The sequence below is a fragment of the Homo sapiens genome, chromosome 5 (assembly GCF_000001405.40).
Source record: "Homo sapiens chromosome 5, GRCh38.p14 Primary Assembly".
Taxonomy (NCBI): domain Eukaryota; kingdom Metazoa; phylum Chordata; class Mammalia; order Primates; family Hominidae; genus Homo; species Homo sapiens.
The window spans coordinates 176,390,905-176,417,499 of record NC_000005.10 but is presented as its reverse complement, the minus strand read 5'-3'; the positions used below and the strand labels follow the sequence as shown (position 1 = coordinate 176,417,499).

The 26,595-nt window shown below is 53.1% G+C and overlaps 2 protein-coding genes across 10 annotated transcripts in view, besides 3 other annotated features; one reads left to right on the top strand and one right to left on the bottom strand.

Annotated features, from left to right (window-relative positions):
- Positions 669-1,128: a silencer, noted in NCBI's record as "silent region_16652". NCBI's record gives its function as "represses an Ori minimal core promoter by ATAC-STARR-seq in GM12878 lymphoblastoid cells {active_cell/tissue: GM12878}" and the evidence as "EXISTENCE:reporter gene assay evidence [ECO:0000049][PMID:35858748]".
- On the top strand, positions 931-25,045 carry CLTB (clathrin light chain B). 8 transcript variants are annotated; one of them, NR_157088.2, is made up of 7 exons: positions 961-1,323; positions 7,197-7,243; positions 10,792-11,343; positions 19,453-19,570; positions 19,782-19,893; positions 20,968-21,021; positions 24,555-25,045. NR_157088.2 is itself a non-coding variant. In NM_007097.5 (6 exons), exons 1-6 carry the CDS (start codon positions 1,137-1,139, stop codon positions 24,724-24,726), a joined length of 690 nt encoding a protein of 229 aa, NP_009028.1. In that variant the 5' UTR covers positions 961-1,136; the 3' UTR covers positions 24,727-24,999. The 8 variants fall into 8 exon arrangements, 6 of the variants coding, with proteins under 6 accessions (NP_009028.1, NP_001825.1, NP_001351056.1 ...); NR_045724.2 differs by lacking the exon at positions 20,968-21,021 and having other exon boundaries at positions 931-1,323; NM_007097.5 differs by lacking the exon at positions 10,792-11,343 and having other exon boundaries at positions 24,555-24,999.
- Positions 1,169-1,268: a silencer, noted in NCBI's record as "silent region_16651". NCBI's record gives its function as "represses an Ori minimal core promoter by ATAC-STARR-seq in GM12878 lymphoblastoid cells {active_cell/tissue: GM12878}" and the evidence as "EXISTENCE:reporter gene assay evidence [ECO:0000049][PMID:35858748]".
- Positions 1,379-1,458: a silencer, noted in NCBI's record as "silent region_16650". NCBI's record gives its function as "represses an Ori minimal core promoter by ATAC-STARR-seq in GM12878 lymphoblastoid cells {active_cell/tissue: GM12878}" and the evidence as "EXISTENCE:reporter gene assay evidence [ECO:0000049][PMID:35858748]".
- The window catches only part of ARL10 (ARF like GTPase 10), a 49,577-nt gene continuing 25,418 nt past the window's right edge, over positions 2,437-26,595 (bottom strand). Inside the window, exon 4 of one of the 2 annotated variants that reach the window (XM_011534529.4) lies at positions 2,437-3,047. In XM_011534529.4, the coding sequence (XP_011532831.1) occupies positions 2,763-3,047 (285 nt within the window). In that variant the 3' untranslated portion in view covers positions 2,437-2,762. The remainder of the gene's footprint in view (positions 3,048-26,595) is intronic. The other variant, XM_011534530.4, reaches the window with a different exon arrangement.

Sequence of the window (26,595 nt, the reverse complement as noted above, 5' to 3'; positions counted from 1 at the left end):
CAACTCCACTTCCACCCCCAACTTGGCGGCACATCTTTCCTTTCGCTCTTCCAGTCCATATTTCATAGTTGCCTTTCAAGTCCCACATTAGAAATAGCAGACAGCCCAAATCCCATGGTGTTTCTTTGCATCGTCTCCCTATACCCCGTGTTTAAATGTCACAGCGCCTCACACACAGTGCTTTGACAGGCCATTTGCCATCTGTTGGTCTCACCGGATTGTAATCTCCGCATGGCCATGGCTGGATTTTATAAAACGTTGCTGTCCTGGTGCTTGGCAAAGCGCAGGCAGGGAGGAGGCATTCAGAGCCTGTTCACAGAGGGCAGCGGGCAGCGTGGAGAGTGGTAGGCTGCCTGGGTAAACCAGGTCTGCCTTTCTCAGGCTGGTTCATACCTAAAGGACATTTAAGGGGCCTAGCTGGCCATCCAAACTCTGGTCGTATGAACTGAAGCCTCCTCAAGGGAGATACACAAAAAAATACACAAAACAACACGGCCTAGTGGGAAAGGACCTGGACTTGCATGAAAAGGTGCGGGGCAGCCTTTCCCAGCCTCAATTTTCCTCTTCTTACAGAGGCGGAGGCTCATAGAATGAGGTGCATGACATCCCAACCTAGGAGAAGAAACTTCTGCAGAATGAATCAGGAGCCAGGTCTGCGCTCCCGAGGCCAGAGGTGGCCTCCTGTCGCAGCTCTGTGCACGGTACGGCCACTCTGTGCCCTGCGTTTCGCCTCCAGGCCGGGCGGGAGCAGTGCCTAGCCCAGGTGTCCTCGACGCGAGCAGCTGGGCGCCGCTGCGGAGGGAGGGAAGCGCCGCGCCGGTCCCGGGCCCAGCGCTGCGCCCAGTCCTGAGGCGCCCTCCTGCGGCCGCTGCTCGGCGACCTCCCGGCCCTGCGGCCCCGCCCCCGCGGTGACGTCACCGCATTCCGGCTCCGCTCCTCCCGCCGCGGCGCCCGCACCGCAGTGACAGCCAGCCGGGCCCGGTGGCGGAGAGGAAGTGCGGTCCGCGCCAAGCCCGTCCCCGCCGACGCCGGCTCCCCCGCGGCTCGGGTGACAGCGTCGCGGCCGCCGGACGCAGCGCGGGGCAGGCGCGGGCAGAGCCGAGCGCAGCGGAGGCTCCGGCGGAGGCGCGGGGAAAATGGCTGATGACTTTGGCTTCTTCTCGTCGTCGGAGAGCGGTGCCCCGGAGGCGGCGGAGGAGGACCCGGCGGCCGCCTTCCTGGCCCAGCAGGAGAGCGAGATTGCAGGCATAGAGAACGACGAGGGCTTCGGGGCACCTGCCGGCAGCCATGCGGCCCCCGCGCAGCCGGGCCCCACGAGTGGGGGTGAGTCAGCGCGGGGCCTGGAGAGGGGCTCAGGGCGCGCACCCGGGGGACCCCGGCCGGGGCCCAGGGGCACAGGGAAGAGAGCCTGCTCTAGGCCACCCGGGGCAGGAGCTGGGAGACGTGGGGAAGAATCTTCTTGGAGATCTCCATGTAGGACTTCCGAGCTGGGGATGAGGCCTCGCCTGGGGCTGTGGATCTGGTGACTCCCGGGACAGGAATTCGGTCATGACATTTCATCCCCAGGCCAGCTTCCCCACTGCCCGGCTCTGGAATCCAACCCCACCTCAGTTTTGAGAGTCCCTCCTGAGCCTCCTAATAGCCTGGGTGTCCCAGGCTCCCAGCTAAGTGTGCAGGTGTGGGCAGAACACAGCCCTCCTGGCCCCTCAGGCTTAGCTCTCTCCTGCAGCTGGGAAAAAAGAGGATCCTGGGTGCTCCAGGAACTCACTAACCTTCCCCGGTGACCGCCTGGCATTCGGCAGTCGCTGGGCTAAGCGCCTTGGTTACATTTAATCACTTCATACACGTGATTGAACCCATTTCAGAGATGGTAAAACTGAGGCTCAAGGGAGTATGCTATTGAAATAACTAGTAAGTGGCAGATCAAGAATTTAAACCTGTTTCTTTTTCTTTTACATATATATTTTTTCTTTTCCTTTTTTTGAGATGGGGTCTCGCTATGTTGCCCAGACTGGTCTTGAGCTCCTGGGCTCAAGCAATCCTCCCACCTCTGCCTCCTAAAGTGTTGGGATTACAGGTGTGAGTCACCACACCTGGCCGTGAATTTAAACCTGTTCCTGTCGGACTTGAAGCCCTCTCCACCTGACCACACTGCCTACCAAGTGTCTGGCTCTGAGTTAGACACCGGAGTGTGGGCCACAAAGAGGCATCAGTCAGATGCGGTAGGGCCCTTCAGGGTTTTGTAGTTGTCGACTTAATGGTTTTCCAAAGGTGGTCCGGGGCTATTATGATTTACTGTGATTGGCTTCAGACCTCAGTGTTCAGGGCCTAGTCCCTGTGAAATCATCTTTATCAATGATGTTTCTGCCCTGGTTCTGGCTAGCAAGAATGATTTTGTAAAATATTTAGTAAAAAAGTAGATATCACCTTCATGGGTACATCCAAAACAGGTTTTACTTCCTGTTGATGTCATTTTGGAAAGGTTTATGGGCCTGTTGTAGTAAGTGCTAACATATATACATATAGACATATTTTGGTTAATGATGTTTACAAGGCTCTTCACAGTCATGTTTGTATCCATTCAACGTTTACTGAGCACCTACTGTGTGTCAGGACGCTGGGGATACAGAAATGAATAAGACAGTTCCTGTGGCTGAGGAGTTTGAAGCAACTCTGTATCTCCTTGATATGAGAAATGTAACCAGGCTTTTGTAACATGCAAGAAACCGGTGGCCCAGAGAATCTGAGTATCTTGCCCAGAGTCACACAGCCAGGAATGACCAATCTAGGACTTGATCCCACGCCTCCCAACTCTGGGCTCCATGCTCTTTCAAATGCTGTGGAGCCTGGGCAACATGGTGAAACCCCATCTCTACAAAACATACAAAAATTAGCCAGGCATGGTGGCATGTAGCTGTAGTTGTAGTTCCAGCTGCTCGGGAAGGCTGAGGCAGGAGCATAGCTTGAGCCCGGGAGGTGTAGGTAGGTCGCCGTGTGCTGTGATCACGTCTCTGTACTCCAGCCTGGGCAGCAGAGTGAGACCCTGTCTCAAAAAAAAAAAAAAAAAGATTCTATAGCAGTCACCTCCCTGGCAGGAGATAGGATGTGGGGTGAGAAGCATGGGGTCTTTTGCCACCTATCTGAGACAGCAATGGAGGGCTTCTGAAGTGGAAGCTTCCAGCACCTCAATACAGAATCTGCCGTGTCCCAGGGAATTCCTAAGAAATGCCTGCCCCAGTTAATGCACCAGTATTCACTGGACCACACCTCTGTGAGACCACCCTTTTCCTCAGTCTGGCTCACTGGGGCCTGTTGGGGTCGGGGTGCAGGGAAGAGGAGGGAGGCCTTGTGGGGAGGTCCTGCTGAGGGGAGCCATTGTGAGAACCTCAGGAGAGAAAAGATGGGATTCAGGCTGAGGGCAGCCAGATGCCTGAGGGAGCTGAGCAGGTTGTGGCCTCTCCCAGGATGGTGGGGCTCCAGGGACTTACAGTCTGGATGGCAAGTTCTGTCCTTGGCAGGGGTGGGGCACAAATTGGCCTCAGACCAGAGGTGACAGGGAGAGAAACAATGACACGCTCGCTTCTTCCAGGGAGGTGCCGGGGATACAGCCTTCTGAGGGTCTCCCAGGCGCATACCTGCTGACTCTGCAAAGGCTCAGCTGCCCTCCTTAGTTGGATCGGGGAGCAGGGAGGTGTTGAGGGATGGCGGCTCAGTGGATGGCCAGATGGGCTAGAATTGATCTGACCTTCTCAGCCTATGCAGTGCTGAACAGGTAATCTTCCCCTGACCAGGGATGTGTGCCAGGAGCCTGGATGGGGCAGAGAAAAAGCGCCCTGGCCTGCTGAGAGCTGGGCAAAAGCTGGCTTAGCAGCGGCCGCCAGTCAGTACCTCTGAGGCACCTTCTCTTAGATGTTGGGGTCCTCAGATTAGCAATCTCTGTGCTGACACTGGGCTCAGTTGCCCCTGGGGAAAGAGGTATCTGGTGTAGGCCTGTGCTGGAGCCACAGGGAGCCCCTCCTCTCTGGCTGGATCTGTGGCCCTGGGTGATCTGGATGATGGACACTTTGTTTCCATTCATCAGCCTTGGGTAGGTTTCCATTTTCACACCCAGTTTTCTGAGCACCAGGCCTGGCTCTGACTTGCCTGTCAGTTCTGGGCAAGCCCATTTCCCCCGCTGGGCCTCGTAAGCTCACAGGAATGTTCTGGACCCTCTCTGCCCTTGTTCCAAAATGGGTCAGGCAGCTGAGGGAAGCAAACCCTCAGGGGTTTATCCCTGGGACGTGTCTCTGTCTCAGTCCTGTTCTGCTGGCCTGTGAGTGTGGACTCCCGGTGGTAGATGGGCAGTGGGTGGGTGGAGAGCACTGTGGGAACAGGTACTTGGAATGCTGTGTAGGTGTGTGTGGACTCTTAAGGAGGCCGAAACTGCATGTCCAGAGGAACACTCTCGAGGCTGAGGCAGAGAGACTTTCTGAAGGTCAGGGTAGACCCCAGGCAGCTGTGTGTAGATGTGGGGTCTGAGACTGGGGTTGGTCAGGGCGGAGTAGGGTGGTGCAAATTCTCGAGAAGGCCAAATGTACAGACCGGCATCACAGGGAATAGACCCTGGTAACGTGAGGCCCTGCTAGAGGAGACACCCCAGCAGAAGAAGCCCCTTTGCAGAAGATGCTGCCACTGAAATGCTATTGGTCCCACTGTGATTTAGGGGCCAGGACACCCATGCAGGAGAAGCCTTATCTGAAGGAATGGGAGTGACAGCTGACAGAGTTGGTTGGAATCAATCACTGGTTGACTCTGAAAGCAAAGTCAATTATGATTTATGTCACCCGGGGATTATTTCCATGGGATTAAGTACCCTTCCCTTGAGTCCCCAGGCCAAACACACTGTCGCTGCTCACAGCCCTGTCTGGCTGGTGAAGGGCTATTTGTCCATCTGCCTATTAACCTCATGTGGCCTCCATGGCTTTTTGCTAGGAGGCACAGCAGTTTCTGAGAGCCTTGCAGATAACAGCAGGCCTCAAAACAACAATTCAACTTCCATTTAGCCAATAGTTACTGCTCACCCATTCCGTGCTGGAGCCCTGAGGAGCTGAATAGGACACGGAGCCTGGTAAGGGGGTACACACGGACCCTGGGGGTCATGAGTAATTGCACAAGAGGGTGCAGGATACTGTATGATATCCTGGGATACCCCGGAAGTGAGACCTTCCGTAAGTGCCTAGGGAAGTAAAGGAAGCAGAGGAGGGCTTCCCAGAGGAGGTGACTTATGAGCTGGACCTTGGAGAATAAATGGAGCCAAAAAAGCATTCTTTTTTTTTTTTTTTTTTTGAGATGAGTCTCACTCTGTCGCCCAGGCTGGAGTGCAGTGGCGGGATCTCGGCTCACTGCAAGCTCCGCCTCCCGGGTTCACACCATTCTCCTGCCTCAGCCTCCCGAGTGGCTGGGACTACAGGCGCCTGCCACCACGCCTGGCTAATTTTTTGTATTTTTAGTAGAGACGGGGTTTCACCGTGTTAGCCAGGATGGTCTCGATCTCCTGACTTCGTGATCTGCCCACCTCAGCCTCCCAAAGTGCTGGGATTACAGGCATAAGCCACCACGCCCGGCCCAAAAAAGCATTCTTTAGAGAGGGAAGCAGGAAGAAAGCATGGGGATGAGGGTGGTGTGTTTGGAGAAGGAGGAAACCAGAATTTAGGGTTTGTGGGATGGGCTGGTGGGAAGTGAGTCAGGAATGGGCAGGGCCAGATTGTAGAGATCCTCATGTTCCAGGGTTAGATGTACTTATCTGGCAAATATTTATTGAGTCCTTGTTATGTTCCAGGGACTGTTGTAGGTGGGCCTCATCATGGATGAAACCAAGTCCACACCCTCATGGAGGGTCTGTTTGTTGGGGGAAGACAGATAATAAACACATACACAAATAAACACAGCAGGCTGTAGTAAGTGCGCTTAATACTGCAGGAGGAATAGGAAGGGGTGCCCAAGGGGTGGATGGGGGTGTGGTCAGGGAGGCCTTTAATTAGGCAGCATTTGAGCAGAAGCTGAAGGGAGTGAGGGAGCAGCCTTCCAGGCAGAGGGAACAGCACCTGCAAAGTCCCCAAGGCAGGAGTAGGCGCTATAGGCCACTGTGGTCCATGGGAAGTGGATTTCTTTGGAGTTTGTTTTCATGACATTTTGAGTCAGAGGAGAGGCACAGGTAAGTGCATGTTTTACAGACTGTCAGCCCTGGCAATTGGTTTGAAAGAGGGATGGGAGAGGCTGGAGTCAAGGGGGCCTGTGAATGGGCAAAAGCCATGCAGTCGTTGTCTTTCTTTCATGCATGTATTTACTTGTTTATTCAACAAATAATTATTGAGCACCTGCAAAGTCACAGGTGCATGCAAGTCTCTGGGAAAGACACAGGAGAAGAGAAAGAGACACAGTTATGTCTTCCCAGGTGTTTGCCCCTAGCGGGCAAAGCAGTTGTGCAGGTGCAAGGTGGTGAGGTCCTGGGCTGGGGCTGAGCTGCGGGAGAGAGTGGAGGGCAACTGTGAATGTCAGTGTTGTAGCAGAAGCCCCAGGAATTTGTGACTAATCAAATGTCAAGGAAAGGGACAGGGAGGAGTCACTGCTGAGGGCAAACTTAATTCCTTCTGGGAGGGGCACAAAGAGAAAAAATATGCCAGGTGCTTCTGGTGGGAACTGCAACTCCTGCTCACCCAGGAGGAGCAGTTGCTCAAGGCGCCTCAGGGACAGGCAGAGACGCGTAGGCCCCTCTCTTCCTTATCCAGTGTAGCCCCTGCCCTGAGCTTACAGCAGCTCAGCCTACTCACCAGGCACAGGCTTCACAGGTAATCTGGCCATTCCCAGCCATGGCCAGGGGTCAGTGATTTCAGGTAGGTAAGGAGCTATTACTGGCTGGGTGATTTTGAGCATGGCCTCTCTGAGCCTCAGCTTGAGTATCTGTAAAATGGGTTGACAACAATTTCATTGCAGGGCTGTGGTGAACATAAAATGTACTAATGGCTGTGAGAGGCTTTATAAACAGTCAGGGGTGGGATTGAGCCTAAGTTATATATATATCCATTATGTCTGTTTGCATGTGGGTCGATATATACATGGGTATACACAGAGTTTGGGTTGAGGGGCTAATGTAGGACCATTTCCTGCTTGCTATAAGCTAAACAGTGAGTAATGCTATCTCCTTGTTCTCTTTCCAGCTGGTTCTGAGGACATGGGGACCACAGTCAATGGAGATGTGTTTCAGGTAAGCAAGGCTCTGTCTCAGCAGTGGTAAGGACCAACAGCCCTGGTCTCAGTAACCTAAAGCCTCATTGTTGTAGGCTTACAGCTCCAGGTTCTCCTGTTCATTATGTCTGATGCATTGGGGTGGAAACATAGAGAAAGGTTTTTGGAATTTTTTTTGTCATGTAGAGGGCAGGGAAGAAGAATAAGGACCACTAGAGATCGAGATTGATGGGCAGTAGCCTCAGGTTGCCCATGGTGATGTCTGGTTTTGGGAGGGAGAGGTCAAGTGGCCCACAGCAGCATGAGATGAAGGCAGCGCAAGGCCTTCCCTCACCACTGACGGGAGGCAGAACCCAGGCCATCTCCACACACAGGGCGGGCCCTTTGATCCAGAGATTCCACTTCCAGAATTTTCCCAAAGGAAATAATTGGACAAGGCCACCCAGATTCTTTGCAGGGTTATTTATAATGGCAGACAATTTGGAGACAACCTAAGTGTCCAGCATCAGGGAACTGAATAGATAGATTAGAAAACCAGGCTGTTGTTAAAAAGGGCAATCAGGGCCGGGTGCAGTGGCTGACGCCTGTAATCCCAGCACTTTGGGAGGCTGAGGTGGGTGGATCACGTGAGGTCAGAGTTCAAGACCAGCCTGGCCAACATAGTGAAACCCCGTCTTTACTAAAAATACAGAAAATTAGCCAGTCATTGTGGCAGGTGCCTGTAATTCCAGCTACTCGGGAGGCTAAGGCAGGAGAATCACTTGAACCCAGAAGGTGGAGGTTGCAGTGAGCTGAGATTGTGCCATTGCTCTCCAGCCTGGGAGATGAGAGTGAAACTCTGTCTGAAAAAAAAAAAAAAAAAAAAAAAAGGGCAATCAGATCTTCCTGTATTGACGTGAAAAGATGTCCACAATATATTAAGTGGAAAAAGCAGCTTGCAGAATAATATACACAGTATGGTCCTTTTTTTTTTTTTTTTTTTCAATTTTAAAAATATGTTTGGGCTGGGCGTGGTGGCTCATGCCTGTAACCCTAGCACTTTGGGAGGCCAAGGCAGGTGGATCATGAGGTTGGAAGATTGAGACCATCCTGGCTAACACGGTGAAACCGCACCTCTACTAAAAATACAAAATTAGCTGGGTGTGGTGGCACAAGCCTATAATCCTAACTACTTGGGAGGCTGAGGCAGGAGAATAGCTTGAATCCGGGAGTGGGAGGTTGCGGTGAGCCGAGATCACGCCACTGCACTCCAGCCTGGGCAACAAGAGCAAAACTCTATCTCAAAAAAATAAAACTAAAGGTTTGCACTACATATCTGAAAGGATGTGTACCAGCTGTTAACAATGGTTAGCCCCAAGGGTGGGGTGGGATGGGGATAAGAAAGGGGCATTCACTTTCACTGGGTTGTTTACAAATTCTTTAAGTGTTTTTATCCTGCAAAAAACGAGGAAAACCCAGCCGGGCACGGCGGCTTACGCCTGTAATCCCAGATTTTGGGAGGCCAAAGTGAGAAGATCATGTGAATCCAGGAGTTTGAGACCAAACTGGGCAACATAGTAAGACCCCATTTCTGCAAAAAATGAAAAATTAGCTGGGGCAATAGTGTGTGCCTATAGTCCCAGCTACTCAGTAGTCTTAGGTGGGAGGATTACAGCTTGAGCTGGGGAGGTCCAGGCTGCAGTGACTATGATTACACTACTACACTTAGCCTGGGTGAGTCTTTTTTTTTTTTTTTTCCTGAGATGGAGTTTTGCTCTTATTGCCCAGGCTGGAGTGCAATGGCACGATCTCGGCTCCCTGCAGCCTCCGCCTCCTGAGTTCAAGTGATTCTCCTGCCTCAGCCTCCTGAGTAGCTGGGATTACAGGCACCCGCCACCACGCCTAGCTAATCTTTTGTATTTTTAGTAGAGATGGTGTTTCATCATGTTGGCCAGGCTGGTCTCGAACTCCTGACCTTCAAGTGATCCACCCACCTCGGCCTCCCAAAGTGCTGGGATTACAGGCACGAGCCACCGTGCCCGGCATGACAGTCTTAAAAAAAAAAAAAAGAGGAAAACCCTAGTAAGTGTATTTCTAGTTAAGACTGCTTCTGTCCGCACCCACCTAACTCTCTTCCCCTTGCATACACACAAATCCATTTTAGTACTCTGAGGGAACTCAGACCACAGAGGCATGCAATAGTCCTCACCTCGGCCCCCCAGCCAGATGCCTGGTGGGGCTAAACCTCCCCTCAGAGCCTTCATTCCCACTCAGACTGGGCCAAAGAGCCTTGATCCTGGGGTCTTTGGCTGTGGGATCTTCTGAGCCCCGCCCTGGAGGAGCTGGCTTCTTGAATCCTCTGGGGGAGTAAACAATACTTATTTTCTTATGTAAGAGGGATGGGCTGGTACCTTATGCAGGGAGACTGGCCAAGTCCTGTTTCTGGAAAATTACTCAACTATCAGCAAGCTGGAAAAGTCCATCTCTAGGACTTCAGCAGCTTCATGTCTAGTTGGGCCCGAGGGAGTCAAAGAATGAGGATTTGCTTCTGTGCAGCTTGGTAGATCATTAAGACTTAGGCTGCCCAGGCTCTCTGGCCACATTCAGAAGGACTTTGCTTGACCCCACAGTTCTGTGTCCTAAAGTGCACCTGGAGCTGGAGATATGCTTGGAACCACAGAAGTATGTAGAACATGGCCGGGCACAGTGGCTCACGCCTGTAATCCCAGCAGTGGGAGGCTGAGGTGGGTAGATCATTTGAGGTCAGGAGTTCAAGACCAGCCTGGCCAACATGGAGAAACCCTGTCTCTACTAAAAATACAAAAATTGGCTAGGCAGGGTAGTGGTTGCCTGTAATCCCAGCTACTCAGGAGGCTGAGGCAGGAGAACTGCTTGAACCCAGAGGCAGAGGTTGCAGTGAGCTGAGATCGCACACTGCACTCCAGCCTGGACGACAGAGCGAGACTTTGTCTCAAAAAAGAAAGTACCTAGAACACTCTGAGCTGGATCATTTACCTTTCCTAAAGATTAGCATCACGAAGCTCAGAGAGGTGAAGTGGTGAATGCAAAGTCACCCAGGAAATCAGCCACTTCTGGAGTGCACCCCATTTGACTTGGCCCCCCGCCTTCTCCCTCCCGACCTGTCAGCCGTGGGTGAGCTGTGGGTGAATCTGAGGAGCCCGGGGCCTCCTTTCCAATCTGAGTGAGAACTCTTATTCTCACTGTTACTAAGAATCACAGCAGGTGTGTTTATTTGTAAATCATATCACATCAGTGCCATCCGAGAATCCTTACAGGCAGGGCAGGGTCACAGATGAGCTGAATCACTCAGAAGCTTAGTGGCAAAGCCCCAGCTTGCCTACATCTCCTGGGCTCCGACCCGGTGTGCTTTGCATTACGACTCTGTTGCTGGAACTGGCTGGCCACAGCGCCTGGGTCACAGGTGGAAAGCCCCAGCTCTTTAGGATTGAGCATAGCAGGTCTGGCCTGCACCTGCAGGGGGAGGAGAAACCTTGGCCTGTGCACACCCAACACTTTCAAGGATCCCAGACAGAGCTTTTGTGCTTCCTTTCTTCCTCTTTTCTGCAGCCCGTGCACCACCAGCGGGTCCAGCTACAAACCCAGTTGCCAATACAGCCTAAGGACGAGCCTGCCCACAACTATTCCAGTTCCATTTGGCACAGCCAGGGGCAGGGACAGAAGGGCCCTGCAGGACTCCGCCTCCCCACCTCTGCACAGATCCTCTCTCCTTTCCCCTAATACTCCCATCATCCTCCTTTTAGCTTCTTAGAGGAATCAGCAGCTCAGCTTAGCTTAGATTTAGCTGATCAATCCCAAAGAAGGATGTGGCTCATCCTCTTGGCCATCCCTGGAGTCGCAGCACACGCTTGGCTGGTGTGGGTCCACAGAGGTTCTCATGGGTGGGCCCAGCAGAGGGGCCCCTCAGGAGAGGGATTCTAGGGAGCTAGACTGAGACAAGCCTGGCCCTGACTGTCGCCTCCTGCCTTCTGGTCCTGGCCATTCCTGCCCCTTTCTCTCTCCAGAGCTTGGGAGGAGTCAGAACATTGCTCTAGCCGCTGGTGATCTCTCCTGGTTGCCAACCCTCCTGGCCATGACTGATCTCCCCACTGAGATGCTCAGGTGATTAAACGAGAGCCCAGTTGTGGCCCGTGACACTGTCACTGGCAAGGGTAGGGGTGGGGACAGGGGCAGGAAAATAAGTTCTGAGCAGCCCGGAAATAATGAGTGGTGACTGCTTCTCGGGGCTTTGCCTGCCAGCAGCACCACTGTGCTCTCCTGGTCATGGTGCACGGAGGGCCAGCAGGTGTGGGGCCCTGCCACACCGGAACAGCAGGCCACAGCAGCCATGCTGTCCCTCATACGCACACGCCCTCTATGGGCTGCAGAGTGTTACCATAGCATCTCGTAAGCCTCACTTCCCACCGGTAGTAGGATATTGTCACTCATTTAACAGGTTTGAAAGCCAAGCTGCCCAGGGAAGGGACTTCTCAAAGGTCGCGAGTCCAGTGAGTGGCAGAAGGGGGATGTAAAGCCCAGCCCCTCTGATGGAGTGTCCAGCGCTCGTCCCGTGCCCTCCACGCCCCTGTGTACCCAGCTACTTGTTTATTCATTTGGTTTATACGTTTGGTCGTTCATTCATTTGGTCAGTGCACATTCTTTTATGGCCACACACCTGCTAGGGCAGTGAATAAACGGATATGGAGGCAAATCCACTGGATAGTTTGTCTCCAAAGAGCTCTCTTTTTTTTCTTTTTCTTTTTCTTTTTCTTTTTTTTTTTTTTTTTTTGAGAGACAGGGTCTTGCTCTGTAGTTGAGACTGGAGTGCAGTGGTGTGATCATGGCTCACTGCAGCCTTGAGTCTTGGGCTTAAGTGATCCTCCTGCCTCAGCCTCCTGAATAGCTGGGACTACAGGGAGGGCCACCATGCCTGGCTAATTTTTTAATTTTTTTATGGAGATGTGGTCTCGCTATATTGGCCAGGCTGGTCTCGAGCTCCTGGGCTCAAGCAGTCCTCCTGCTCAGCCTCCCAAAGTGCTGGGATTACAGGTGTGAGCCGCTGCACCTGGTCCCAAACTCGCTTCTAATAGAAGACAGGGAAAGAAGTGAAAGAAGTGAATGGGAGCCCAGGAAGGTGAGGGCTTGGCTTTGGGGAAGCATTAGGAGCTAACAGATTGAGTTCTTCTCTGTGTAGGCACCAGCCAAGGGCTTTACGTGCTTGATCTCCCTGAGTCCTCCCAACTCCCTGTGATGTTGGTTGTCATTATTCCTGTTTTATACAGGAGGTTTAACAGCTCGCTCGAGTTGTGTAGCTAGTAAGAGGTAAAACTTGAATCCAGGATCAGGCGCCAGAGCCTGCACTAAAGTTAGGGAATGCAACTGTGAGGGGACACTGGCAGGGGGTTCTGAGGCTGCCCAGGGGGATGTGGGTGGCCTTGGCCAAGGCCAAGGGAAGAGCATGTGCAAAGCCACAGAGGGTCGGTCACTCATTCCGGGGTTCACCGGAGCCCGGGACCTGCTGCACAAAGGGACGTGCCAGGAGAGGCCAAAGGTTTCGGGTGAGCCCTGCATAGCCCCCACTAGAGTGCATCAGTGGGCCTTGCAGCTGGTGGCAGGTGGCGGAGATGTGGGCCCAGTTTGGCCAGGCTTGGCACCTTGGGACTGGGGCAGGACACCGTGGGGGCTGAGTTTCCTTAAGGCTGTTCCCACACCCAGACTGCAGGCTGCAGCGGAGGTTTAGATGGAGTCAGAAGACCTGGACTTCACTTTCTGCTTTTTCCCAGCTGGCTGGCTGTGGGCTAGTCACTTAACTACTCTGAGCCTGGCTTCTCATTTGTAAAATGCGAATTAGAGGCTCCGCTCCGCTGCCCCAAAGGGCTGTGGAAAAAAGTGCTCTGCAGCCCCGGACGCTTCTCACAAACTCCTGACCCAGCCCCTAGGCGAGCTGAGGGTGGTGTGTGGGGGTGCGTCCCAGAGGAAGGCGGGCCATGAGACCTGGGGGCAACCGGAGCTGGGGACCCAGTCTCTAGTCTTGTCTTGAGAGGAAGACAAGCAGGCACACAAACTATGCGTCACAGAAGTGACTTTGGGCCCTATTAGCTACTATGTGGCGAGTCACACCCAGCAATTCAGTTTGAATCCTGGTTCTGCCACTTCCTGGCTGGGTGACCTTGGCTCTTTGGAGATAGAGTTTACCTACCTGTGAAACAAAAAGAATAAAACTTGGCTGGGTGTGGTGGCTCATGCCTGTAATCCCAGCACTTTGGGAGGCTGAGGCAGGCAGAGGAGGCCAGGAGTTTGAGACCAGCCTGGACAACATGATGAAACCCTGTCTCTACTAAAAATAAAACATTAGTCGGGTGTGGTGGTGCCCACCTGTAATCCCAGCTACCTGTGAGGCTGAGACAGGAGAATCTCTCAAACCCGGAAAGGCGGAGGTTTCAGCGAGCAGAGATCACGCCACTGTACTCCAGCCTGGACAACAGAGCGAGACTCTGTCTCAAAACAAACACACACACACAAAAACAGGCCGGGCACCGTGGCTCACGCCTGTAATCCCAGCACTTTGGGAGGCTGAGGTGGGTGGATCACAAGGTCAGGAGTTCAAGACCAGCCTGGACAAGATGGTGAAGCCCTGTCTCTACTAAAAATACAAAAATTAACCAGGCGTGGTCGTGGGCGCCTGTAATCTCAGCAACTGGGGAGGCTGAGGAGGAGAATTGCTTGAACCCGGGAGGCGGAGGTTGCAGTGGGCCGAGATCACGTCACTGCACTCCAGCCTGGGTGACAGAGCGAGACTCCATCTCAAAAAAGAAAAAAAACAAAACAAAAAAACACCAAAAAACAAAAAACCAACCATGTAGGGTTGCGAAGATTAAAGAAAGCCCTTTAAATGCAAGTTCTCTGGAGTCTTAATTTAGGGCAGGCTTGGCCAGGCGCAGTAGCTCACGCCTGTAATCCCAGCACTTTGGGAGGCCGAGGTGGGTGGATCACCTGAGATCAGGAGTTCGACACAAGTCTGGCCAACATGGCAAAACCCCGTCTCTACTAAAAATAAAAAAAGTAGCCAGGTGTGGTGGCAGATGCCTGTAATCCCACCTACTTGGGAGGCAGAGGCAGGAGAATCGCTTGAACCCAGGAGGCCAAGGTTGCAGTGAGCCGAGATCCTGACACTGCACTCCAGCCTGGGCGACAGAGCGAGACTCCGCCTCAAAAAAAAAAAAAAAAAATTAGGGCAGGCTTTATGGAGATGGCGGGCCCTGAAGGATACAGATGAAAAGAGACTCCTGTTCAGGGCCCCTCACCACTCCTCTCCTCCCACATCTGGCAGCATCTGTGTATCCATTTCCCAAAGGCTCCAGGCCCACGTGATTCTTACACGTGCTGGCTCTTGGCCTGAAATGCCCTTCCCCATCTCTCCTACTGTACTCTGTCCCCAGGCGAGAATGGTGCCCTCCCTTCCCCACTCTCTTTATCTGAACTGTGTTCCAGCAAGGTTCACGTTTCCCCAGCCATGGTTCTCATTTGTGAGGGACTCCCTGTCCCAACTTCCTGGAAGGTGTCTTGCTCGTCCCTGTCCCCAAGCCTGAACATCTATGAATTCATTCAGTATTCTTGAAAGGTTCCTGCAGCCAGGCCCTCCCGGTGCTGGGTGCTGTATGGAAACAGGCAGCCTCTGCCCTCATGGCAGGGAGGGAAGGGGGAGGACACAGAAAATAAACAGGTAAACAAGCCAAGGCCTCAATCAGGAGGCAGGGGAAGCCCTAGGAAGCTGTAGACCCTCGATTCTAGGGGAAGAATGTTCCAGACAGAGTCTCTGAGGGGATACAAGATGAGCTTGCATGAAGGCCAGTGTGGCAAGAGTGCACGAATAGAGGACAGAAATCAGAGGCCCAGGGAGAGACCAGATCACTTGAATTTTGTTCTAGCCATAATAGGGAGCCTTCAGATGTTTTATTTTATTTTTATTTATTTATTTTTTGAGACAGAGTCTCGCTCTGTTACCTAGGCTGGAGTACAGTGGCACGATCTCGGCTCACTGCAACCTCCATCTCCCGGGTTCAATTCTCCTGCCTCAGCCTCCTGAGTAGCTGGGATTACAGGCGTCCGCCACCACACCTGGCTAATTTTTGTATTTTAGTAGAGATGGGGTTTTACCACGTTGCCCAGGGTGGTCTCGAACTCCTGAGCTCAGGCAATCTGCCTGCCTCAGCCTCCCAAAGTGCTAGGATTATAGGCGCGAGCCACCGTGCCCGGCTGCCTTTGGATATTTTAAAGTGTGACATGATAAATCGGATTTAGACTCCGAATAGGTCATTCGGGCATTTTGTGGAGATGGGGCTGCAGGAAGCAGAGACCAGCAGTGGTCCAGGCCAGGGGCGGTGAGGGCAGGAGGGAGAGTTTTAGAGATTGTGATGACAGGCCCTGCTGATGACTTGCACGGGGGATGGGAAGGAAGGAGAAATCAAGGACGAACAGGAGGCTGGGGCCTCAGCACCCTCGGGAAATTGTTCAGTGTCGCTGTTTTCATTTTAACATCTGGAACAAAAATCCAAGAAAGCAAAGGAGGTTTTGTGAAAATGCTGTGCAACACAAGGCGAGCGAGTGAGTGACGATTGCAGGAGGCAGCCCCCACTGCCCTTTCTGATAGACCTAAAGGCTGAGGTCTCGATGCCATGTGGATGTCACCCTAAAGACAGTGCTCAGATATGACCCTCTCTTCCCTTCCTCCTCCCCTACAAGGGCACTGTGGTGCCTTTTTCTCAGACGGAGGGTGGGGCAAGTTTGGGGAATGAAAAGTGAAGTGACGTTCAGGATTCCTGTCAAAACACCCACATGGGCTGGCACAGAGAAAGGGCTCAGTACATGTTTGCTCAAGGAGTGGGGATTGGGTGGTGGTCAGATGGATGCCTTCATTGTATTTTTATTTTTATTTCCAACTTCTCTGACCTCTCAAGTCATTTCAGATAGAGGTAAGTGCTGGGAAGAAAATAAAATAGGGCACCTGGATAAACCCATATACACAAAGTAACAGTGCAGTTGTCTGCAGATGGAAGGCTCGGTAGGTTTGGGCAGCGGTGCTGGGAGGAGTCCCTGGTATCCTGGCCTCAGAGAAGCATTGTTCCCAGAAAGGAGCAGCAGTGAACTTGTGTTCTCCGGAGAAGGGCCCCAGAAGGGCCCACTGGGATGTTGGGAGAGAGTCTCTGAATTGCAATGCAGTGTTGTGCTGGAGAGGAGTAAGGGTGGCGCCCAGCTGCCCCGATGATCCCAGGAGCCAGGCTGCACCCCTGTCCTGGCCTGCCCTGGCCTGCCCTTCCCTCACTCCCCAGGCAGCTGGAGACTGTAGCCCTGATGTTCCATCTATGTGTTCCCTCTCCCAGAGCTCCTCCTTGAACCGGGTGCCTGCTGGCTCCAGGGGTCTTTGCTCATTCAGCCACTGCTTACTGAGCACCTGCCAGGCACTAAGGATAGGTGGGCGCCGTAGGACAGAGAGTGTGCCAGACACTCCTGTGTGGAGAAGATGTCAAACAACGCGGGCAGTCATGGAAGTTTTGATAAGTGCTTGAAGGAGGAGGGAGGGGAGACTATTGCTGGGAGGGGAGACAGAAGCGCCAGGAGACAAAGGCCGGGTAGCTGGAGTGGGATGCCTGCAGACAGGAATGCGGAGGGCGTGGGTGCCAGAGCGGGTGTGGCTGGACCTGGATTGGAAAGGCTTTGCCAGACCAGAGGGTGCCACACCCTTGTGAGCAGAGCTCACGGTGCTCAGCGCTTTGGGTCCCCAGCTCTGGCAAGGGGTGGGGAGACGTGAGCAGAGCCCCTGCCTGGGAGTCAGGGACCTGGACTCTAGTCCTGGCTCTGCCACTACGTTGTGCCATGTCTCTGGGCCTCAGTTTCCTCCCTTGTAAAATGGGAATGAATAATAATAGTAGTAATTCTAGCTACTATTCACTGAGCCATCACTCCACACCAAGCACTCTTCTAAATATCTCACAAATATTATAGTATTAAATCATAACAGCTCTTAGAGGTGTTCTTAATATTATTCCTTTTTTTCTTTCTTTCTTTCTTTCTTTTTTTTTTTGAGATAGAGTCTCACTTTTATTGCCCAGGCTGGAGTGCAATGGTGTGATCTTGGCTCACTGCAGCCTCCCCTGCCCCGCCCCGGATTCAAGTGATTCTTGTGCCTCAGCCTCCCGAGTAGGTGGGATTACAGGTGCGGGCCACCACACCCAGCTAATTTTGTGTTTTTAGTAGAGATGGGGTTTCACCATGTTGGTCAGGCTGGTCTCGAACTCCTGACCTCATGTGATGCACCCACCTTGGCCTCCCAAAGTGCTGGGATTACAGGTGTGAGTCACTGTGCCCGGTCTATTCCCATTTTTCTTTCTTTTTTTTTTTTTTGAGACCAAGTCTCACTCTGTGGCCCAGGCTGGAGTGCAGTGGCACGATCTCTGCTCACTGCAATCTTCGCCTCCCAGGCTCAAGCGATTCTCCCAAGTCCCAGACTCCTAAGCAGCCATTACACCTGGCTAATTTTTTGTATTTTTAGTAGAGACGGGGTTTCGCCATGTTGGCCAGGCTGGTCTCAAACTCCTGGCCTCAAGTGATCTGCCCGCTTCGGCCTCCCAAAGTGCTGGAATTACAGGCGTGAGCCACCGTGCCTGGCCTTTTTTTCCATAATTAAAAAAACTTTTTTGAAAATAGTGACAGACTCTTGCTGTGTTGCCCAGGCTGGTCTTAAACTCCTGGCCTCAAGTGATCCTCCTGCCTTGGCCTCCCGAAGTGCTGGGATTATAGGCATGAGCTACCATGCCCAGCCCCATTTTTCAAATGAGAAAACAAAAGTCAGGCAAGGTTAAGCAATTTCTCCCAGGCCTTACAAACATTTCATAGTATCAGAGGTGGCATCTGAACCGAGACAGCCTGGCTGCAGAGTCCAAGTTCTTTCCCATGGTGTGATCTGAGCTATGATCATGCTGCATATCTCAGGGATGCTTCTCTACTCAACAAACATCTACTGAGCATCTGCTGGGCCAGGCACTGTGCTGGGCTCTGGGGACATAGCAGTGAAAAGGACAGAGATGACATTCTGATGGCAGAGACAGACAAACACATTATAAAGTAAGGTCCTTTTGGGCTGGTCACGGTGGCTCAAGCCTGTAATCCCAGCACTTGGGGAGGCCGAGGCCGGTGGATCACCTGAGGTCGGGAGTTCGAGATCAGCCTGACCAACATGGAGAAACCCCGTCTCTACTAAAACTACAAAAAATTAGCCGGGTGTCGTGACGTGTGCCTGTAATCCCAGCTACTCAGGAGGCTGAGGTAGGAAAATCGCTTGAACCTGGGAGGCAGAGGTTGCAGTGAACCAACATTGCACCATTGCACTCCAGCCTGGGAAACAGAGGGACACTCCATCTCAAAAAAAAAGTGAGGTCTTGAGGTCTTTTTGGACTAAGTGTTAGGAGTTAATACAACCACAATAGAGAGTGATTTTAATGACGGTAACACAAGGGACTCACTGTGCCAAGCAGTATTTTTATTTTTTATTTTTATTTGTTTATTTTTTGAGACGGGGTTTTGCTCTTGTTGCCCAGGCTGGAGTGCAATGGTGTGATCTCGGCTCACTGCAACCTCTGCCTCCCGGGTTCAAGTGATTCTCCTGCCTCAGCCTCCGGAGTAGCTGGGATTACAGGCATGCACCACCACGCCTGGCTAATTTTTTGTATTTTTAGTAGAGTCGGGATTTCTCCATGTTGGTCAGGCTGGTCTTGAACTCCCAACCTCAGGTGATTTGCCGCCTCGGCCTCCCAAAGTGTTGGGATTACAGGTGTGAGCCACTGCGCCCGACATTCTTTATAATTTTTAACTCATTTCATCCTTATGTCCTCCCATCAGAGTGCATACTGTTATTTAGCCCATTTTATGACAAAGAAAGTGGCTGGCACACGCTTTCTTGAGTCTTCTGCTTTGGGGGTATCAAAACCTATAACTGGGCCAGAGGCAATGATCAGGCACAGAGAGGGTGAGTAACTTGCCCGCAGTCACACAGGTGGCGGAGTGTTGCTGGCAGAGGGAACAGCAAGTGCAAAGATAGGTGTAGTCACCAGAGACAGTGGGTATGAGGTTGTTTGAGGCTGAGTTATCCAGACATGAGTGGGTCCCCAGCAGGGGCAGCAGAGACAGCGGGGCAGGTGTGCTGGCTGGATAGACTGCTGCGTGTTTGTGTTCTAGGAGGCCAACGGTCCTGCTGATGGCTACGCAGCCATTGCCCAGGCTGACAGGCTGACCCAGGAGCCTGAGAGCATCCGCAAGTGGCGAGAGGAGCAGAGGAAACGGCTGCAAGAGCTGGGTGAGGGCGGGGCTGAGGCGGGGTTGGCTGGGTGGGCTGTGTGTGGGGTGGAGTGTGGGGAGTCCTCGGAGTGCATGGGATGCTGCATGCCTTAATGTGGGACTGGGCCGGTGCGGCCCTGTGGCTGCCTGGCAGGGGCCAGGGGAGGAGCGCGGCCGGGCCTGTGCATCCCAGCTGGAAAGCAGCCACTCATTCTCTTGTGGGGTCCTAGATGCTGCATCTAAGGTCACGGAACAGGAATGGCGGGAGAAGGCCAAGAAGGACCTGGAGGAGTGGAACCAGCGCCAGAGTGAACAAGTAGAGAAGAACAAGATCAACAACCGGTGAGAGGGCTGTAGGGACATGAGGGGGCCATGGGGACATGAGGGGGGCTGTGGGGACATGAGGGGGCCGTGGGGACATGAGGGGGCCATGGGGACATGAAGGGGTGGGGACATGAGGGAGCTGTGGGGACATGAGGGGGCCGTGGGGACATGAGACGGGCTGTGGGGACATGAGGGAGCTGTGGGGACATGAGAGGGGCTGTGGGGACATGAGAGGGAGCTGTGGGGACATGAGAGGGAGCTGTGGGGACATGAGAGGGGCTGTGGGGACATGAGAGGGGCTATGGGGACATGAGAGGGGCTGTGGGGACATGACTGAACACTGCCCAGTGCTCCCTGCCTTTGAGGCTCTGTCCTTCACGGTACAAGGTCTTCCAGGAAGGGAAAGGCCTGTTCTGGGAAGCTACCCTTCTGTCTAGGGAACTGCTGCATGCCAGGCTCTGGGGTAGGCACGGAGGAGATGGAGATAAGGAGGACCCAGCCTTATGTCCTCAAAGGGCGCAGAGGAGAAAAACACACATGTTCAACTAAGCTCAAATACAGTAGGGCCCTCTGCACGAAGGCCATGGAAGCAAGGAAACAGGTCAGGGAGAGACCTCTGTGTCTTGGGACTTGGGCTTTGGAAGATGACTAGGAGGAAAAAAGGGAAAAAAGGGCAGGAGGTAGGGGGGCATTCTAGACCTGGGTACGAAGAAAAAAATGTGATGTATTAGGCAACAGGGGGCCAGGGAGCGGTGGGAGAGAAGGCAGGAACCTGTGGACTCACACTGTAAGGGCCTTGGCTGATGAGTTGGGCAGTGACATGGGCAGTGGGGAGCCACTGAAGGTGTTTGAACAGGAGTAACATGATCAGGGATGAATTTTAGAGAAGGTGCTGGGGCCAGGGTGAAGGTCCCCATTCTCCTGTTTGGGGCTGTGGGTCGTTGCTGAGCCTTCCAGAACTATGCTTCCTAACATTTCTCCCACTGGAGGTACTAATGCTGTCTCTCTCTCTCTCTCTAACCTTCTGCCTGCCTGTCTGTCTTGCCATCTGCCTTCCCCCACCTAACCCCTTCCCTCAACCTTTCCCTCAAGGATCGCTGACAAAGCATTCTACCAGCAGCCAGATGCTGATATCATCGGCTACGTGTACGTGTCTGTTTTGCTTCTCTGTTGGGGGAGCTAGAGAGGGAATGGCCACCACAGTTTCTTGAGTTTCCTGCTTGTGGGATATAAATGAGTGTGGCTGGGCTCGGAGCAATGGTCAGAACAGGAGGCAAATGCCCTGGTGGGTGCAGGCAGCAACCACCTCCCTCCCTCCAGTGAAGTGGAGGCTGCTTGGCTAAATCAGAGCCTTGCAGGATAAAGGCAGAGAAAGGAATGTGCTTGCCACTTATTCCCATGTGGGAGGGGCAAATGGCAGAGCACCCCAACTCCCTCCCTCTGTGATGTCTCTTGGTGGGTGTGTGGGGTGAAGGGTTTTTTGTTTTTTGAGATGGAGTTTCGCTCTTGCTGCTCAGGATGGAGTGCAGTGCTGCGATCTCGGCTCACTGCGACCTCCACCTCCTGGGTTCAAGCGATTCTCCTGCCTCAGCCTCCCGAGTAGCTGAGATTATAGGCACATGCAACCGTGCCCGGCTAACTTTTGTATTTTTAGTAGAGACGGGGTTTCACCATGTCGGCCAGGCTGGTCTCGAACTCCTGACCTCAGGTGATCCACCCACCTCGGCCTCCCAAAGTGCTGGGATTACAGGCATGAGCCACCACACCCAGCTGAAGGGGTCTTTTATTCAACAAAACAGACACTGAGCATGGGATGCTGGAGGCATGTAAAGGACAAGAGCTGCTCCTTTGTGACATCCATCTCTTCCTCCTGCCCCAGTGCACTGACTTTGGCCATCAGCCCCTGCCCAGACCACCACAGGCCCCCTCACATGTTTCAGGTTTGGGGTCTACTTGGTGTGATGAGTAATCAAGACCAGGGTTGGCAAACAGGTTATATCTCGTGCCGACGTCAGTTAGTTGGTAGAGACATCCTGGAGGGTGGTGGTGGGGATTGTGGAGCTGAAGAGAAGGTACTTGCTGTTCTTCACTCTAGGTGTGCCCTGGCAGCCCGTCATGTGTCGAGGCTAAGCCTCCTCTCACAGGGCACAGAGCACACCAGAGCCTTCGTCTGCTTCCTTCCACTCTCCCTCATTTAGTACTCTTTGGCACTCGCCTTGTGCCAGATTGGTAAGACACCCACAGGCCGCCCCCCTCACCGTGCTCATGGTCTGGAGTGTGTTATGATAAGGGCCTTGTGGAAGGACACAGTGAGCTCTGGAAGCCACTCTCTGCCTGGGGAGCCTGGGCAGGCTTCAGAGATGCAAGACCTTCAGCTGACCTTAAAGTGTGAGAAGGAGTTTGCTGGATAGGGAGGGTGGGAAGAGAAGGTGGGAGGAGCAGCTGGGGCCAAGGCATCCAGAGAGAAAAGGCCCAGCTGGCTGCAGTGGCTGAAGCTCTACAGGCTGGGATGGTGGGGATGGTGGGGATGGTGGGGATGGGTGGGAGCTGAGGCTGGGAGGTGGTTGGCTTGGGGCTGGTTGCAAAGCGCCTGTTGTGCCAAGGCTGAGCTCAGACTTGATCCAGAAGGCAGTGGGGAGCCACAGGAGGCTTCCAGCAAGGGATGGGGATGTCAGATGGGCATGGGTGCTGTGGAATACCACAGGGGGCTCGATGCTTCTGTTGAGCCTGAGGAAATGGCCCAGAGAGCACCCAGGAGAGCCCTGAAGAGAGAGTATAGACCAGGGCTTCTCAAACTTTTTTTTTTTTTTAAGACGGAGTCTTGCTCTGTCACCCAGGCTGGAGTGCAGTGGCATGATCTCAGCTCACTGCAACCTCCGCCTCCTGGGCTCAAGCAATTCTTCTGCCTCGGCCTCCTGAGTAGCTGGGACTACAGGTGCCCGCCACCATGCCCGGCTAATTTTGTGTATTTTTTAGTAGAGACGGGGTTTCACCGTGTTAGCCAGGATGCTCTCCATCTGACCTCGTGATCCGCCCACCTTGGCCTCCCAAAGTGCTGGGATTACAGGCATGAGCCACCGCGCCTGGCCACACCCAGCTAATTTTTTGTATTTTTAGTAGAGATGGGGTTTCACCATGTTGGCCAGGCAGGTCTCGAACTCCTGACCTCAAGTGATCCACCCGCCTCTGCCTCCCAAAGTGCTGGGATTACAGGAGTGAGCCACTGCGCCCAGGCTCAAACTTTCACATGCCTATGAATTACCAGGGGGTCTCGTGAAAACCCTGATTCTGATTCAGCAGGACGGTGGGGAGGCCCAAGGGTCTGCATTTCTGACAGGCTCTGTCGTCATGCTGATGCCATTGGACCATGGACGCTTTGAGCTGCAAGGACAGAGGGGAGCCTCTGGACCCTGAAGGGACAGCTCCGAGGATAGCTCCCCTCATCCCCACTTGCCACCCAGCTCCACGCAGCACTTTCCTTTTTTCCAGACCTGCTTGCTACCTCATTGAATTCTCAGTCCAGTGAAATAGTTGGTAGGGCAGAGCTATGATCCTCATTTTACAGGCTAGGAAATGAGCATACAGCCAGCATCCCTAGAGAGGGGCCAGGTCACCTGATCCGGGGTCAGCTCTTCCATGGAGCGCTCCTGCCATCAGTCATGTCTGGCATCGGCAGAACTGGTCCTGCTTGAGATGGAGAGGGGGCTTCCAGGGACTTGTGAGCGACCCTCGCTGGCCAAACAGGACATAGACCCAGCTCTCCTCACCTAAGAATCCCTTATTGTCTTTCTGTTAGTGAGTCCCACGTGTAGATTTTGTCCACTAGACTGTATTTACTTGTTTCCCCACTGTCCCTTAGTCAGTGGCTTCTGTGACTGTCAACCAGAACTTCTGATGAAGGACCGCCAGTTTTCATCCTAACTTGATTCCAACCAAAAGCAGACTCCAGTGGAGCATTCATGCCCCAGGCTGTGGCTCCTCAGAGACAGTGGTGGTTCTGGGCTACAAAGGGCTCTGTGGTGAAAGACGCTTGGGATGTGGTGGATTCCATCACATACACACCTTGGAGGGTCACGACGCACACAGCACATGAAAGGCTTTGAAAGTCTTGCTGTAAAGATCCTCTTTAGCTGGGTTTTCCATAGGTATTTGACCACAGTCTTTCTGGAGAATCCTCACACAGAACATTCAGGCAATGCTGAACTAGGTGCTTCTGTTAGATGGTTAGTCAGTGTCCTACTTCTGCCAAGTTTTTGGAAATGGTGAAATAGCTAAGGTCCTGCATTAGGTCGTCCTAGGACCTCCAAGGGTCTTTAGGTGTCAGGAACCTCAGGTTGGGAACTCCCGATGGGGAAGTAATGAACAGAGGGTGCCTAGGCTGGGAAGACTTTCTGAGGAGGTGAGGCCCGCACTGAGACCTGAATGACAAGAAGCAGCAAGCCAGGAACAGGTCTGGGAGAAGCGTGTTCCAGGAAGAGGTGATAGCAAGTGCCAAGGTCCTGAGGCAGGACCAAGCTAGGCTTCCTCCTGCGCCAAGGCTGCCCTCCTCTGAAGTCAGGGGGGCACAAGGCTGGGGAGGACACAGTGCCCCAGAGTAGGCTGGGCAAAGCAGCCTTGCTCAAGGGCAAGGCTGGGGGAAAGCAGACTGCTATAAAAGCCCGTCCTATCTCCACCCGCAGGGCATCCGAGGAGGCTTTCGTGAAGGAATCCAAGGAGGAGACCCCAGGCACAGAGTGGGAGAAGGTGGCCCAGCTATGTGACTTCAACCCCAAGAGCAGCAAGCAGTGCAAAGATGTGTCCCGCCTGCGCTCGGTGCTCATGTCCCTGAAGCAGACGCCACTGTCCCGCTAGGTGCCTGCTAGGTGCATGGCCACAGAGCATGGGCTGGGCCTGGGCACAGGAGGAGCAGCTGCTTTGGTCGGGGTGGAGACTCGCAGCAGCTGCTACCCACAGCCTATTCCACTCCTCCCCATCTCCAGGCGCTGGGAGGGGGGCCCTCACCCCATCACGCCTCGCTCCCTCCTGGCCCTCTGGTCCAGCCCCTCACGCCTCCTCTCAGTCTACTCAATTGTGACTGTCCCTCCTGATGTATTTTTTTTCTTGGCTTAAAGGGTGTGTTGTTGACTCTTTTTACACTTATTTATTATCATTCTCACTTCTCTGGAAGCCACAACTGGTGTCAGGGCTCGGTTTGTGCTTAGAACTTTCCCAGCTTCATGACCTTGAGAGAAGGGAGAATGTTCCCCCATTTCCCAGCCAAGTGGGAGCCCCAAGCTCTCCATGTCTGTTGCCTCCACCTCCAGGAGGAAAGACAGCCTCTCGCAGAATGCTTTTGTAACCTCGATCCTTTAACAAGTCTGTGAGGTAAATTCTGTTATTCTCACCATATAACCAAGGACACCAAGGTTCCCAGAGGGGAAGTGGCTTGTAGTGGGAGGGAAAAGCGAGACCAGAGGTTCCTGGTGGTAGCTTCCTCCTAAGCCTGGGTAAGAGCCCTGAAGACCCATGAGACTCCCCTCCTTAGGGTTGGCTGGGACCTTCTGGATGTGGAGGGTCCACTGCCCTGTGTATTTCGCTTCCTCCTTCAACTGGGCTCATCTTGGATTTTGGATAAACAACCAGTGATCACACCTTCTTCCCCTTCAGCAGAGTTTGCAAACAGGACGTTCATGACCTGCATGATGTTTAAAAAGATTTGAGTAATTGCCAGTAAATATTAGCTTCCTAGGGCTTCTGTAAGAAGGTACATGAACTAGCTGGCTTAGAACAGAAATTTATTGTCTCATAGTTCTTGAGGCCAGAAATCTGAAATCAAGCTGTGGCAGAGCCATGCTCCCTCTGAAGGAGCTGGGGAAGGGTCTGTTCCACCTGCTTCTGGCTTCTGGTAGCCTCAGGCATCCCTTAGCTGGCAGACGCATCACCCCAATCCTGCCCCCATCAGGTGGCTGTTTGCACATTGCCTTCTAGGTATGTCTGTCTTTGTGGCCAAATCTTCGTTTTCTGTTTTTTTTCTCAAACAGGGTCTCGCTTTATCACTGAGGCTGGAGTGCAGTGGTGCAATCTCAGCTCACTGCAGCCTCAACTTCCTTGGGTCAGGCAATCCTTCCACCTCAGCCTCTCAGGTAGCTGGGACTACAGGCACGTGCCACCACATTTGGCTAATCTTTGTATTTTTAGTAGAGACGGGGCTTTGCCATGTCACCCAGGCTGGGCAAACTCCTGGGCTCAAGCAATTTATCCACTTTGGCCTCCCAAAGTGCTGGGATTACAGGGATGAACCATAGCACCCAGCCTAAGGTCAAATTCTAAGGCACTAGAAGGACTTCAACATTTTTGGAGGGGGACACCATGACACCAACACTTACAAACAGTGGTCATCACTCCATGTCCTTGTCTTGTATCTGGATGCCAAGGGTCACCACAGTGCACTGCTCTACATCTATCATCTCTGCCTCAAAGCTGAGAGAACATGGTGGAGGCAAGCAACTTAGCTGGCCCTAGTACAGCCCTCCACTGAGATCTAGACTGTTGGGGGGTTCAAGAAGGGGTGTGTCTTCACTCCCTTTTTCCTTCTGCCAGCTTGAAGCTGGTGTTGAAAACAGTACAATCACTCGGGAAGAGCGCAGGTCCTCAAATCCAACATTTGAGGAGCGCTGACCACAGACCAGGAATACTTGTTTGAAACTACATGAAGGAGGAACTAACAGGTCACCTCTCTTC